This window comes from Homo sapiens, chromosome 17, assembly GCF_000001405.40.
Source record: "Homo sapiens chromosome 17, GRCh38.p14 Primary Assembly".
NCBI classification, from domain to species: Eukaryota; Metazoa; Chordata; class Mammalia; order Primates; family Hominidae; genus Homo; species Homo sapiens.
In genome coordinates, this window is record NC_000017.11 from 60,823,124 (window position 1) to 60,839,047 (window position 15,924).

Consider the following 15,924-nt stretch of genomic DNA (forward strand, 5'->3'; position numbering starts at 1 on the left):
ATTTGTATTAAAACAAAAAGTTTTGCTTTGTTTATATATGCCTAGTTAGTGGGTAGATGTGGTAGTACTGTCACAACTCTTTAATCTGTAGTTTGCCATGTTTCCCTGTGTTTTGGAGCACCCTTGATTTTAGTTTTTATTTAGTCCTAAGTTGTTGTTTGATTTTACAGCAAGGGAATCGTGAGTCCCAGAAAGGTTGAAAAAAGGGTGAGGGGAATGGTGCAGATACAAGGGAAGCAAAGGGGAAAAAACTTTAATCATTTTTCAAAAGATGGCTTTATAGAGAGGATTGAGGGCTGGCAAAGTGGCTCATGCCTGTAATCCCAAGATTTTGGGAGGCTGAGGTAGGAATATCACTTGAGCCCAGGAGTTCAAGGCTGCGGTGAGTTGTGATTGTACCACCGCGATCTAGCCTGGGTAACAGAGTGAGACTCTGTCTCTTACAAACAAAACAAAACGAAATGGAGAGAGAAAGGGAGAAAATTGAAAATGGATGTAGAATAAGAGAAGTTAATTCTCTTTAGAGTTAGGTCAGTCACTGAACTGGTTTTTTGTTCTAGGAAGTTTCGTCATCTCCAAAAATAGTCACGGTGTTTGAGAAATGTAAATTGTATGTAATACACTACATGGAGAATGAAAGCCAATGGTGCATTAATATTGTCAAACTGTGAGAGAAGGCAGTCTTCCATCTTGTGCTTTTTTTCACACAGAGATTTTTCTTTTATGACTATGCCAGGTTTTTGTTTGTTTTAATTTTAGTACCATAGTGTTGAGGAAAAGAAAATTCTCATTAAGCATGTCTGATTCTGATATTGAATGTCCCCCTGGAAGTGGATCACCTGACTACTACCTTCCAAAATATGACTCCCTGGCACTCTTTCTTATCAACAGCCCCTTACAATTAAGTCACTTCTCACTTTGACTACTATAATAAACTTTCATTATGTGTTAGTATTCAATTCATTTTTCTTTCTCTTGAGTAAATATGAGTTTGTATATAATTCATTACAGTTTTTCCCGTTAAAAGTAATGGAAATGATTTTCCATTTAATGCCTTTTCTTTTAGTGGCAGAGTTTTCAGGAAGAAATTACAGTCACTAAGTAGGCATACATGTATTTATAATTATGTTGAGCTGTTGTGTTTTAGTTTTCTGTTTTGTGGGATTTCGGGAAGATATTTTTATTATCTTTTATGATGATGATTTTCTGATGAGACCCTTACCTTCAGCTCCTTTCTTCTTTCTTGCTTTTATCACAACATTCCCAAGGGACACATCTCATTTCTGATGCTTTCCTTCTCTGATTCTTTCCCTTTGGCTGGTATCTCTTGTCCAGCACATGTTCTCGTCTCCTTCCTTGTGATTCCCTAGTAGCCCAGGCTTTGATCCAACAGGTCTTAAGCCTGTTTTCAGCATTTCCCTGCTCAGGGTGAGACTCCCTGCTTCTCAGAGTGAATCCTACATGACTTTTTTCTGTGTTCTGTCACCAATAGATCCATTCCATTCTTCTGTTTTGCAAGTAATTCTTGCTCAGCTCTGGTGCCAGCTCAGGAGCCATCTTGGCCAATTTTGAATATTTATAATCCCCCTACATAATTGTTATTTAAAGTTAGTGGTGTTTCTGTTTTCTAGTTATGCTGTGTTGTGATTTAGGGGTGATTTCATTTGTTTCCCTTGCCGATGTGTTGTTTTCTGGAAGATATTTGGAGTTAGGTGGTCATATACACATGCACAAACACATTTGTAAAAATACATGGGTTGGGCTGGGCGCAGTGGCTCTTGCCCATAATCCCAATACTTTGGGAGACCAAGGCAGGAGGATCGCTTGAGCCCAGGAGTTCGAAACCATCCTAGGCAACATGGTGAAACCCTGTCTCTACAAAAAATACAAAAATGAGCTGGGTGTGGTGGCATGCATCTATAGTCCTAGCTACGTGGGAGGCTGAGGTGGGAGGATTGCTGGAGCCCAGGAGGTAGAGGTTGCAGTGAGCTGAGATCACGCCACTGCACTGCAGCCTGGATGACAGACTGAGAACCTGTCTCAAAAAAAAAAAAAAAAATTAGGTTGTGTTGCACTTATGTGCACCTTGCTTGCTTTTCTCTTTTAATGTATTATAGTGTGGTTTTATTTAATGATGAATATTCATCCTACCTTATGCACATTATTTCATTATATACATATCTTAGTAATATACATTTTGAAAATATAGATAATAGGTTAAAAGAGCTTAAAGCTTAACATAGGCCACCTTGTGCTTTCACCACATCTCCGAATCTCATGTGTGGCTTTATAAGATTTTGTGTCAGAGTATGCTGGTGTCCTAGTTTGTTCCTTGCACTGTAACAAAATACCACAAACTTGGTAATTTATAAATAATAATTATTTATAATAATTTATAAATATTATAATAATTTATAAATAATTATTTATAATAATTTATAAATAATTATTATTTATAATAATTTATAAATAACAGTTCTGGATGCTGGAAAGTCTGTGATCAAGGCAGTGGCAGGTTTGGTGTCTGGTGAAGAAGGCTCAGTCTTTGCTTCCAAGGTTGCACCTTGAACTCCATGTCCTCACATGGTGGAAGGGCAAAAAAGGGCCTAGGGTGTTCTCTGCAACCTCTTTTGTAAGGTTGCTAATCCCATTCATGAGATTGGGAAAGCTCTGCCCTCATGACTTAATCACCTCCTAAAGGCCCCACTTCTTAATACTATCTCTGGGGATTCAGTTTTTTTTTTTTTTTTTTGAGACGAAGTCTCGCACCGTCACCCAGGCTGGAGTGCAGTGGTGTGACCTCAGCTCACTGTAACCTCCGCCTCCCAGGTTCAAGCAATTCTCCTGCCTCAGCCTCCCAAGTAGCTGGGATTACAGGAGCCCGCCACCATGCCTGGCTAATTTTTTTTTGTATTTTTAGTAGAAACAGGGTTTCATTTTGTTGGCCAGGCTGGTCTCAAACTTCTGACCTCGTGATCCTCCTTCCTTGGCCTCCCAAAATGTTGAGATTACAGGCATGAGCCACCTCGTCTGGCTAGTTTTATTTTTGATTGATTAATTAATTAATTAATTAATTTTGAGACAGAGTGTCGCTCTGTTGCCCAGGCTGGAGCGCAGCGGTGTAATCTCGTCTTACTGCGGCCTTCACCTCCCGGTTTCAAGCAATTCTCAAGCCTCAGCCTCCTGAGTAGCTGGGGTTACATGAGTGCACCACCATGTGCAGCTAATTTTTTGTATTTTTAGTAGGGATGGGGTTTTGCCATGTTGCCTCAAATTCCTGGGCTCAAGTGATTCTCTCGTGTCGGCCTCTCAAAGTGCTGGGATTACAGGCGTGAGCCACCACTATAGCTGGTCCAATTCAAAAATTTAGCATATGAATTTTGGGGGACACATTCAGACCATTGCAGCTGGTAAGGTAAAAAAGAAGAAAATATTTGTGAAAGGTTTGCTTCTATACTGTCTGATTCTAAACTTAAGAATAAAAATTGGCCACATATTTATTAAAATGGGGTTCTCTCCCTAACCATTTTACTACCATATATTTCATGTAGCAATGTTGCAAAGAGGTATGTTTTCCATGAGCTACATCTAATTCTTGTCTTTCTTCTCATCTCTCCTGAGCTATTTGCCTGGAAATTTAACAGGAGTACTTAGAAATGGGACATAAAGAAAGATCACCAGAAGATAGTAGTCTATAATGTATATCTGAAGAAAGAAGCCCACAAAACAAATACTGGCATAATGATAACGTGGATGATATTAGGCCTTCAGTGGCAGCTTTTGCAATTTAACAGGAACTCTGCTTGTAGTGATATTTCTGTTTAATGGATACAAATATGATTTTGTATTTGATAATTTTTTTCATATGTAGGTTTAACGTAAGGTTTATACTCCATAATATTTATTGATATTCCTGAATCCATGGATGAAAATATAGAATAATGGAACTAACAAGGGTTTTGGAGTCACATAGACCTAGCTGTGAGTTACTAGCTGTGTAAACTAAATTACTCAACAGTTCTTAGGCTCACTTTCCTTATTTGTAAAGCAGTGCTTATATAAAACTGCTGTGATTGGTTCTTGTGTGAATTCAATGAGGCACTGTTTTCAAGTATTGATTACATCCTGATACATGTTAGGTGTGCCTCATACTATTTGGGTCAGGAAGGTATTAAGGATAGTTAGATATCACTCTTCACCAGGAATTTCTTTTCATTTATATTTATATACTTTCTTTGAGTGGGAGTTTTGCCTCTATGACTGTTCGAGAAATAGGGCTGTACCCAGCTTATCTGGTGCTTGTGCTACAGATTGGCCAGTCTTCATTGCCTAACCGAGTACTGCATCTAGAGGTCTTTACTTTCATTGGAAAATGGTAATGTGTTCATATTCCCAGTAGAAGCTCATATAGTATAAAGCTACATGTGTGTGTATTTTTGTGTGTGTCTTTATTGAGGTATATGGAAATATGATGAACGGCATATATTTAAAGTGTACAGTTTGATAAATTTTGACATCTGTATATGTCCATGAAGCCATCACATTCCAATCAAGATAATGAGCATATCCATCACCCACAATAGTTTTCTCATGTTTCTTTGTAATGCACCCTTCCTGTTCCTCCCCCTGTAGAAGAAGCGTGTTTCTATGTAATAAGTCTTCCCGAGTAGCAGTGCCATCTTCACTTTGTAATGAGGTTTTTTTGGGAAATACTTTGCTGTCACATAGTTCAAAGTGACTTTAGTATACAGTTAAAAATATAAAGGTAAAGGTATTGAGTTCAAAGTTGTTTTTTCTTCTGCTCTACAACTTAACCAAAAAGTAAAGCTTTCCATCTAGAACCAGTTCATAAAACAACTAAAAGGCTTGCAGTTTCTCTGTGTAATCATTTCAAAACAATAGTTTTTTTTCAGCCACCAAGAAGGATGCAGTCTTGACATATAAATAGAAAACAGATTGAGTTTTTGGCTGATATTGCTATACTGGTTTAAATGTTGGTCCAGTCAACTTCAGGCTTAGATTACAAGATTTGCAAATTAGAGGAAAACCAAAAGGGAAAGAACATCTGCATAGATTCTGACTTTGTGGAATTCCATACAGGCATGCTTACTCTACTTCTGGTGGAACAGGCCATGTGCATAGTGAATAAGCCTGAAAAGAGATCACTGTTGTGTTGTGATTATGTTAAAGACAAAAGTTGAAGTAGATAATTAGGCAATTCATTATGGAGAACCATGACAGTTTCTACGTCAAGTATTTTTAACCATTTTTTTGGGGGGGAAATCTTTTGTTGATACAGTGATATGTTACTTTGCCAGAATAAAACCTTGCTAAATATCACTAATTATGTTACTTGATTTTCTGGTATCAAAGTATTGGGATTTGAAAAAGGTAATTTGCTGTAACTAAGGATTTTAAATTGGTTATAATCAAAGACTATATGGATATAATTTATTCTATAAATGACAACACAGTCTCAGTGAGATGTAAGGAATCCTTGTCTGCTACTGGGCTAATCATACATTGTGTATATGATTTTAAGATGTTTTCTAAAGATCACCTCTCCTGCCATTTAGATATGAATTTTAAGAACTGCTTTATTTGATTTTTTTTCTCTTTTATTCTGAGAAGGGGCTTCCTTATGTTCTTTCAAGACATGTTTATGGGTATCTATTATGTGTCAGCTACTGTTAAATAATCCAGGACATCGTTTCTTAACTGAGGGAAAAAAGGTAGAGATGATTTTGATCCCCAAGGGATATTTGGCAGTGTCTGGGGGACATTTTTTGGTTGCCACATCATGGAGTAGAAGGTGCTGTTGGTATCTAGCGTGTAGAGTCAAAGAACCTGCTATACTGTGCATCCTATAATTTGCAGATCAGCCCTTAACAGCAAAGAATTATCTAGCTCATAATATCGATAGGGTCAAGTTTGAGAAACCCTGATCCAAGAAGATAAAAATCTGTATGTCTAGAACTGACATTGCTAGACATTTCTTGCTAGAGCTGACATTCTAGCAAGGAGAGTGAAACAGTAAAAAAATAAGTAAAATATATAGTATGATGATGTAATGTATAACAATAGTAGAGGGTCGGGTGTGGTGGCTCACACCTGTAATCCCAGCACTTTGGGAGGCTGAGGTGGGTGGATCATGAGGTCAGGAGTTCAAGACCAGCCTGGCCAACATGGTGAAACCCTCTCTCTACTAAAAATACAAAAAATTAGCTGGGCATGGTGGTTTGCGCCTGTAATCCCAGCTACTCGGGAGGCTGAGGCAGGAGAATCACTTGAACCCAGGAGGCAGAGGTTACAGTGAGCTGAGATCACGCCACTGCACTCCAGCGTGGACAATAGAGCAAGACTGTGTCTCAAAAAAAAAAAAAAAGTAGAGAAGGTAGTTAGATAAAGTTGGACAGGACAGTGGTGTTTGTTGTTGGTGGATATTTGGATTGTTTGCCATTGAGGGTTTGATGAATAGTGTGGATATGAACATTTCTATATTGCTTTTGGTGTACATTTCTGTTTGGTATATGTAACTAGGAGTGGACTTGCTGGGTCATAAGTTGTTCTCACTATCTTCTTCTATCTTATTATCTTCTTATATCTTGTTAGATATTTCCAAGCAGTTTTTATTGTTCCATGAACCTTTATTTATTGCCAATATATGAAATGATATAATTAGAACAATGTAGTAAATGTGTGTCATTTCCTGTGTTGATGATATCAGGAGTCTTATGAGATTGCCTTAAATAATTGGGATTTGAAATTCTGGATGTGCTTTTTCTCCACTGGTAGCTATTGTAAATATAATTTTGTCTCTTAATTTCTCTTCCTAGTATTCAAATGTTGAGCACTTTTTAAAAATTTGTATTTATTTATTTATTTTGAGATGGAGTCTCACTCTGTCACCCAAGCTGGAGTGCAGTGGCGCGATCTTAGCTCACCGCAACCTCTGCCTCCTGGGTTCAAGCGATTCTCCTGCCTCAGCTGCCTGAATAACTGGGATTACAGGTGAATACCACCACGCCCGGCTAATTTTGTATTTTTAGTAGAGATGGGGTTTCACCATGTTAGCCAGGCTGGTGTTAAACTCCTGACCTCATGATCTGCCCACCTCAGCCTCCCAAAGTCCTGGGATTATAGGCGTGAGCCACTGCGCCCAGCCTGAACACTTTTAAATAGTGTTTCTTTATGTTTGAGAACTGTAAAACTAACTGTAACAGTATAAAACGTGATGGTTGCACAAGTATAGTTGGAAAACTTACCTGGAAAATGGCAGAAATCCTTGATGTCATCTAGATCATGAAGGGGAAAAATGGGACAAACATGAAGTCCTGAATAGTTAACTTTATAGGAAAGGTCATGCTAAGTGAAATGGTACAGGAAAATTTTTAAAATGCTGTATGACCCTCAGGTGTGTTTTGTTCAGGATTGTACAAGGGCTATACTTTTTTTCTTTATTTCTTTGTGTAAAGCTGTTGATCATACCTTAGGATACTGAGGACCAAATATTTGAAGAGAATTTGGAAAGATTTAGAAAAACTCCTTTTACACAAAAGGAGTTTAAATTATAAAGCTGGCTGAAAAACTTGAAAAAATTACAAACTTTGAAGTTTTGTTTTATGTCCATGAATAGATTATTATTATCTTAAAAATAAATTTTCTGGCTCAATAAGGTATTTATCACAACTACTATAATATTCTAGAGCCAAGATTTAATTTTTGGGTTTTTTTTTTTTTTTAAATAAACATCCTTTTGTTTTTTTAAGACAAGGTCTTACTCTGTGATCCATGCTGGAGTGCAGTGGTACAGTCTTGGCTCACTGCAACATTTGACCCTCGGGCTCAAACAGTTCTCCCACTTCAGCCTCCCTAGTAGCTGGGACTACAGGTGTGTCCCACCAGACTCGGCTAGACGGGGTTTTGTGGTATTGCCTAGGCTGGTCTCGAACTCCTGAACTCAAGTGATCCTCCTGCCTTGGCCTCCCTAAGTGCTGTGATTACAGGCATGAGCCACTGCATCTGGCCAATAAATGTCTTTTGATTGAGTTATATGTTATGTCTTTTTTTTGAGACCCAGCCTCATTCTGTCAACCAGGCTGGAGTGTAGTGGCACGGTCTCGGCTTACTGCAACCTCTGCCTCCCAGGCTCAAGTGATTCTTCTGCCTCAGCCTCCTGAGTAGCTGGGACTACAGGCGCGTGCCACCACGCCTAGCTAATTTTTGTATTTTTAGTAGAGACAGGATTTCACCATGTTGGCCAGGCTGGTCTCGAACTCCTGACCTCAGGTGATCCTCCCGCCTCAGCCTCCCAAAGTGCTGAGATTACAGGCATGAGCCACTGCACCGACCTATGTTATGTCTTCCTTATGTTAACTGATTTTATCCTTTGTTAGAAAACAATTGTTGTGACAAGTGGTTTTCTTTTCATTTATATAATTTTATTAACATCTTGTTTACCAAACACAGTATACAACGAAGGTTAAAACAGTTATTGTGAGATGACTGGCATGTTAATTAGAGCCTCCCTACGTGTGTGTGGGTGTGGGTGGATGTGCTTTTGGAGAGACTAATGCAGAGCAAGGGACAGTATTTTGAGTGCCTCTTTGGCGGTGGGTTTTTTTTTTTAAATGACAAGCCCTCAAATATGTGGTATGTTTAAGTCTTATCAGTTATTTAGATGTAGTCACATTTATCTCTGTGGAAAATATAAAATACAATAATTTGTATATTGTAAAGTAATGTCATTTTTAATTTTTTGATTAGTCTTTTTCACTTTCTTGAAAAATTCAGAAGAAAACATTCTGAATGCATCTGTTTGTCAGTTTTGTCCGTGCACCTTTCTCAGACAAAAAAATAAAATGTACGTTTATGATGATGAAAACAGCTGCAGTGCATACTTCTGAGAGTCATTTGTCAAACGAAGCAGCAATAGAGGAAAAATGATAATACACCACTGCACTATTAAGTATAAAACTGCTGCAATTGGTGCCGTTTTAAATTATTAAACACTGTAAATGCCATAAAGTTAATTAGAAGAGGAACAAACTCTACAAAGATAAATGTGTTTTCAGTATGATTGTTAGGGGAGGGTACAGTAGAAACCAGTGAATAGAGAGGAAATTTATTTCTGGCAGGACTCTACACATGGAACTGTGGCTGAACTTTTTACCCTAATTACCTCCTGCTAATGCCTGCAGCGGGCTGGAATCAAAGTGGTGCTTCAGGCCCTGGAAATTCTCTGATGTGGCAAACGTTTGTTGTGTGAGGAGGGTTTCTTAAGAAAAAGCAGAATATTGTGACAGGATTTAAAAAAAATTTCTCAGTTACCACCCACCTCACTTGTTGCCTACAAAAATAGAGTAATTGTTTGCATCTGTGTGTGCTTTTTTATCCCCTAAGAAATAACTGTTATAAATCAATGTGACATAGATCCAGTGAACTGAGGCTTGCCTGAGGTAGGATTTTTTTTTGTTTTTTAAAGTTTCTCCTTTAATTGAAAATTTAGATTCCAAATGTAAAGAGGTTATTTTTTATAATTGAGAAGAAACATTCTATGCATTTTTAAGGAGAATTTGGATCTTAAAGTGTGCTTTTCAAAATGAATTCTAAAAACTTTTGTAGTATCAAACTGATAACTATTAAATTGCTTAATCCTGGAAAAAGTGGGAATTTCCAGTTTCCATTATTAGTTCTCCATCTGAGACTAGAACCTAAAAGACATTTCTCTAATCTTTGTGAAAGTTAATATCATTCCACTTATGTGTCACAAAAGGTTTGGCCATGTATGCATTTTTGAAATAAAAAGAATTAGTTCTCTAAAAGCACCTGCTTTTCAACTTCTGCCTTTAAAGGCAGTGTTTCTATACAATGTAAAATACAAGTACCATGACAAGTCATTTTATATAATCTATTTTTAAAAAATAGAGATAGGGGTCTCACTGTATTGCCCAGGCTGGTCTCAAACTCCTGAGCTCAAGCGATCCTCCCACCTCAGACTGCCAAACAGCTGGGATTACAGGTGCGAGCCACTGTACCTGGCCCATTTTATATATTCTAAAAGAATCCAATTTTCAAATAGTCTGCCCTTGTGCATCTGTGCTGTCTTGTGTCTCCAGCTCCAGCCCTTATCTAATCTTCTTGAAATACCTTTTAGATAATTCTTGAAAAGCACTAATAGCACTTTTTTTATAATGCAAATAAAATCATGTTTTTATGTTGGCAAAAATTTATTTTGGCAGTCTTTTAGTTGGATGTCCTAAAGAAATAGTTTTAATTTTTAAAAGCAGAATGCTGTGAGTTTTCTTGATCCTAGGCAATAAGAATTGTAGTGAAATCCCAAATTTCTTTCAAGATTGTGTCAGAAACTCACAGTTGCTGTGGTTACAGATTGCTTCATTATAACCTTAGTATTTTGCATTTTGCACACTTATACTTTTGCATTGCATCTGTGACCATTCATTCATATAGTAGTTTTGTGAATTGTGAATGAGGGCTATTTGTTTGAACTACCAAGTTTCAAAATTATGTTACAAACAATTTATTTTTATTTCGTTCGGTACATATGTTTACAAAAACTTTAATCAGTGGTAAGGCACTTATATATTTTCACTTCACGTATTCTTTCAAAACTGTAATTATCCACATTTGATATAATAGATATATTTTGCAACATTTGGCTTTGTCATTTGACGCCCCTTCATTTTCCGCTCAATTCCAACTGCCTTTACAAGAAAAGCCAAATAAGAAAACATTTTACTTCTCTGTCTACTATGAAAAGTAATCTGTCAAAACGTGAAACTACTTTTTAAAGCTGTATTTATATCTGTAGGTATTTGGTGCAATTTAAGTTATATTTCACTATAAAATAACTGCATATTATCATTAGAAGGATTTAAATCATCATGTGATATTTTTCTGATTCTAATAACAGGAAAGAGAAATTATACTAATGTGGCTTTATCACAAATTATGTAATATAATAACATTTATGTAAAATGAATGTAAATATTCTTACTAGTTTTCAAACAAAACATTTTATGGTACAAGAGGAATAATTTTGTTGTACTTCAATAATATGTCAGATTTCTTAGAAGTATTAATTTAGAACAGGATATTTTATTGTCTTCTTAATAAAGATAAGCAAAAGCTTAGATTTTTCTGCTATCATTTTAAGAATTGACAAGGAAAATAATTGACTATAAATTTTTACACATATCCTTCTCTAAAATGTTTCCTGTTCTGTCTTGATATAACAGGTTGTTCCTTGATTTTGAGAATTAGACTTTAAGCATAATCTATTAATTTTGGCTTTACTTCATTTCTCAGCATGTCTCAAATGCTGTGATGAACTTTGGTTACTTTGAAATGTTTAGTGAAGTGGTTTCTATTGATTTCATATGTGTACTCAAACTAATCTACATTGGTAGATTATCAAGTTTTAAGATGATACTAGAGTAATAAAACTGGGCATACTCTTTCACAGTATAGTAGTATATTTGGCCTCACTGTGCTTGCTTGGCAGAAGATGGTATAATTAACATCTTTTTATGAGTTGAGCTAGACTTTAGTATCCTCATTTCAAGTACCCCATGTTTTTTTGTTAGCTATGGTTGTGTGTATCTGTTAATATGAAAAATGACTCTGTATTTTTTTGTTTATCATAACTGATAAGGAGTTTTAAGTTATATTGCTTTTAGGGAAATAAATCCCGGCAACATCTTGCTTTTTGTGGTTGTTAGTGCTTCTACTATAACCAACTTATAAATTTTCCCTAGTATATTCTTTTAGTTTTCAAAAGTTCCTTATAATAGTATGACTCAAAACTAACTGTACATGATTTTTAGGGAACTTTATGATGTATTTCTTTATCATTAACTAAAATTTTAATGTTTAATTTTTAACTGGTCTGTTTTGCCTCTCTATTCTTCTGTATTCCTCTGCCAGCAGTTTCTGCACTTTTGTTATCTATCAGAAGAAAGCGATAAAATAGGAAAGTACAATAGAATCTTCTAATGGACATTAAATTCATATATCTTCCAAAATTAAAAAATAATGAACAATTTATTAATATTTTTGCTATTAAAGCTATAAATATATTTTTCTTTTACATGTGGATTTACAATATGAGATTTTTAGTATCCTGAATTACTACTTTCAAACAGTACACTGTAACAGTTATGCTATTATTATGGCTGATTATATTATCTACTACATGAATACCGAAGGCAGATTTGTTAGTTTTTTCTTTGGTTATTTGGAAACCTGATGTTACTGAAGTCAAGGTTGAAACTTCAGTCTTCTTTTACTTCTCTTCTTCATCTATAAATAGATTTCCTAATCAACCAGTAAATGAGTATCAGCAACTTAAATATTACATGTTTTAGCAACCAAAATCTTTGCTATTGTTAGAAACATTTCCACTGGTAGTTTATTGCTGAATATTAAAGATTAAAGTGTTCCTTTTTTAAAATTTGAAGATTGAATCAAATGTTTAAAGAAAAGCTTTTCTTATCAGGCCATGGTTGCTGCAATAAAAGAAAGAAAGAGAGGCTTTCCTGTATAAAGTTTTACCTACATCATAGGGTTATTGGAAAGGTTAAATGAAATAGTACTTGTAAAGCCTTTATAACAATGGGTGGTATTTATCAAATGTACAATATTCATATTCTCGTGATGAAATTATAGATATTATACAGCAGTAACAGATATTAGCCTTATTAGAAAAGCAAGATTCACAAAAGGTAGAATGTCAAACATTTTAGGATGTTTGTTTCAGAAATGGAATTTTCCCAAGTATGTCTCCTGAATTTCTCATTTAGTCATTAATTGTTTAGACTTTTAAATGAATTTTAAAAAATGGATTCTCTAAAAAAATTTTATCCTCTCAGCTTTTTTGGGAGATTTTTAGAGGAGTTTTAGGGTCACAGCAAAATTGAGTGGAAGATACAGAAAGTTCCCACATATCTCCTGCCCGCATACATTTATAGCCTCTGCCATTATCAACAGTCCCCACTAGAGTGGTACATTTGTTATAGTTGATGAACCTACATTGACACATTGACACATCATTATCACCCAGATTCCATAGTTCACATTAAGGCTCACTCTTGGTGTTATACATTCTGTGGGGTTGGATAATTGTATCAGACAGAGTGATTAAATCTTTTAACAGATAGTTAACATTAATTCTCTTAATTCTTTTCTTAATTTTTAATTAATTCTTTTAACAAGTAGTACTAATGCTCAACATACAACAGTGAGCGAGACTTAATCTCTGCCCTCCGGAAGCTTATACGGTAGTTCTTTTTAGCGAAAGAACTTGTAAGTCCGAAAAATGTACAGATGGCATTAACTAGAGTGTTTAGTTCTGTTGTTTGCGTTCCTTCTTTAATAATGTTTTAATATCTCCACATAGTTAAAAAAAAGAAAAAATGGAAAATATCCTGGAAGGTTTAGTAAGCAATTATTTTCTTTATTAGAACAAACTGTTGTTTGGTTTGAACTCTATTGTCATTGGCCTTGGAAATGTTGGAATTTTTCATTAATATGGATTATTAATATTATTTACAGATATCTCACATGTATATTGAATTATGAGTTGTCATATGGTACTTTTAGATGGAGTCATTTCCTTTGAGGCAAGCAGAAAAAGTGAAATGTTTCCCATGTTAGTGTTTTAGTTATAATAACCTAAACATAGTTTTATACTACTTCATGTTAGATCAAGTTATGTAGAAAAGTAATTAGAATATGTTTCACTTGCACCTCAGTAGATTAAAACCAGTTTAGAAGTTTTAAAATGTGCTAATTCTTTTTGACATTTGTTGATTTGTCTGTTTGGTGAAGGCAGATCCTGGATTTCAGTTTAGGGAAGATGATACTTAAAAGACTGACAAACTTGTACTTTGTGTTATCAGGAAATGGGACCTGATTATTTCTTGGAGGCTTGGAAGATTTTGCTGCATTGTCAAATGATTGCACTTTAACCTTATATCTAGTAGAAATTTTACTTTCCTTAGGTGAGATCAGAGTAGTTGAACTGTAGATTTGTATGTCAAAACTCATAGTAGTAGGTGTATATTCAATAAATAGATGTAACAAAAGATGGCAAACTAGCTGTCCTAAACATCCACAACCTTGTTTAAGCCTTTTTATATTCAGCAGATTATCATACCTCCTAATTCACTAGAACTTTATTTATTTGGAATTTCCTGATTCTTTCAGTTAAGCCAAAAACTGATTATTTGGTAACATCAGTAAAATTGATAACCCTTTAATGAGACTAACTAAGAGAAACAGGAGACACAAAGTACTGATATCAGGAATGAAAGAAGGGGCATCACTACAGATCTTATGATCAATAAAAGATAATAAGGTAATATTATACAACTTTTATGCCAATAAATTTGTTAACTTACATGAAATGGAAAACCTAACTAATTGGAAAGTTTTTGGTAAGTGAAGAACAATCAGTAGAATAATTTTCCTGGGAGCAGTTTAAAATTGTAAGCAAATATTTCACAATACTTTTTTTTTTTTTTTTTTGAGATGGAGTTTCACTCTTGTTGCCCAAGCTGGAGTGCAGTAGCACAATCTTGGCTCACTGCAACCTCTATCTCCTGGGTTCAGGTGATTCTCCTGCCTTGGCCTCCCAAGTAGCTGGGAACAGGTGCGTGCCACCATGCTTGGCTAATGTTTGTATTTTTAGTAGAGGAGGGGTTTCACCATGTTGGCCAGGCTGGTTTCAAACTCCTGACCTCAGGTGATCCACCCCGTTGGCCTCCCAAAGTGCTGGGATTACAGGTGTGAGCCACCGTGCCTGGCCACACAATACTTTTTAAAAATTCAATTTTAAATTAAAATTTAACATTTAAATTAAAAAATTTTAAAGCTTATTTTTCCCATGAAGGAAGGCCATAAAACAGTGATACAAGAACTCAGGGAAGACATGGCGAGATAAACCCCACAAATTGATCACAGAATTGATGAATTGTAAGGCATGGAAGGGAGAATAGATAGAAAATGGAATTAAATGAGAGACTGAACAAAATGGGAAGAAAATCACAACATGTGCATAGTTCCCGAATAAGAACAGCAAAGCATTGTGATTGAGGAAATATTTAAGGTAAAAATTAAGAAAACTTTATGGAAATAAAATGACTTCATTTGATGTAATGAAATAGCACAGCGTGTACCAAGGATAGTTGACTCAGAATGGTCAATTCCAATATATATCATTGTAAAGTTTCTGAATTTCAGGAGCTTTAATAACTCGGAGGTGGTGAGGTGGGTGTGGGGAGTGAAGAGGGAGTAGTGGGGATTAGGCTGATCTCATATTTCCCCACAACAACTAGAGCAAATACTATAAGACCCCCGAGAAAGATAGTGAAAAGCAGCCCAAATTCACTTGAAATAGAAAGGTATAGGTTAGAGGTCAGCAAACTTTCTCCTGCAAGAAATATTTTAGGTTCATTGGATGATATGTTCACTGTGGCAACTAAACTATAGACAATAAAGAAATGAATAGGTTCGGCTGTGTTTCAATAAAACATTATTTACAAAAATAGCAGTGGGGCAGGATTTTGGGCATAGTTTGTTGACTTCTATATACCGCCATTTTGGAAATGTTTTTCTAGACAAAATCTAAAAAAATATTAATCATGCTGTACTTATGCATGGTTTTTGTTGTTTTTATTACAGACAGGGTTTCATTATGTTGCTCAGGCTGAAGTGCAGTGGCTATTCACAGGCATGATTCATGGCACACTGCAGCCTCAAACTCCTGGCTTGAAATGGGCTCAAGTGGTCCTCCTGCCTCTGGAGTAGCTGGCACTACAGGCATATGCCACTGTGCCTGTCTTATGCATGGTTTTTAGTGGAGGAAGACTGTGTGGGCGTAGTAGAAAATAGTATTGTATAAGT

The 15,924-nt window shown here is 35.8% G+C and overlaps 1 protein-coding gene across 8 annotated transcripts in view; it reads left to right on the forward strand.

Moving 5' to 3' along the window:
- BCAS3 (BCAS3 microtubule associated cell migration factor) overlaps positions 1 to 15,924 on the forward strand; it is a 714,981-nt gene that overhangs the window by 145,273 nt on the left and 553,784 nt on the right. The window lies entirely within an intron of this gene.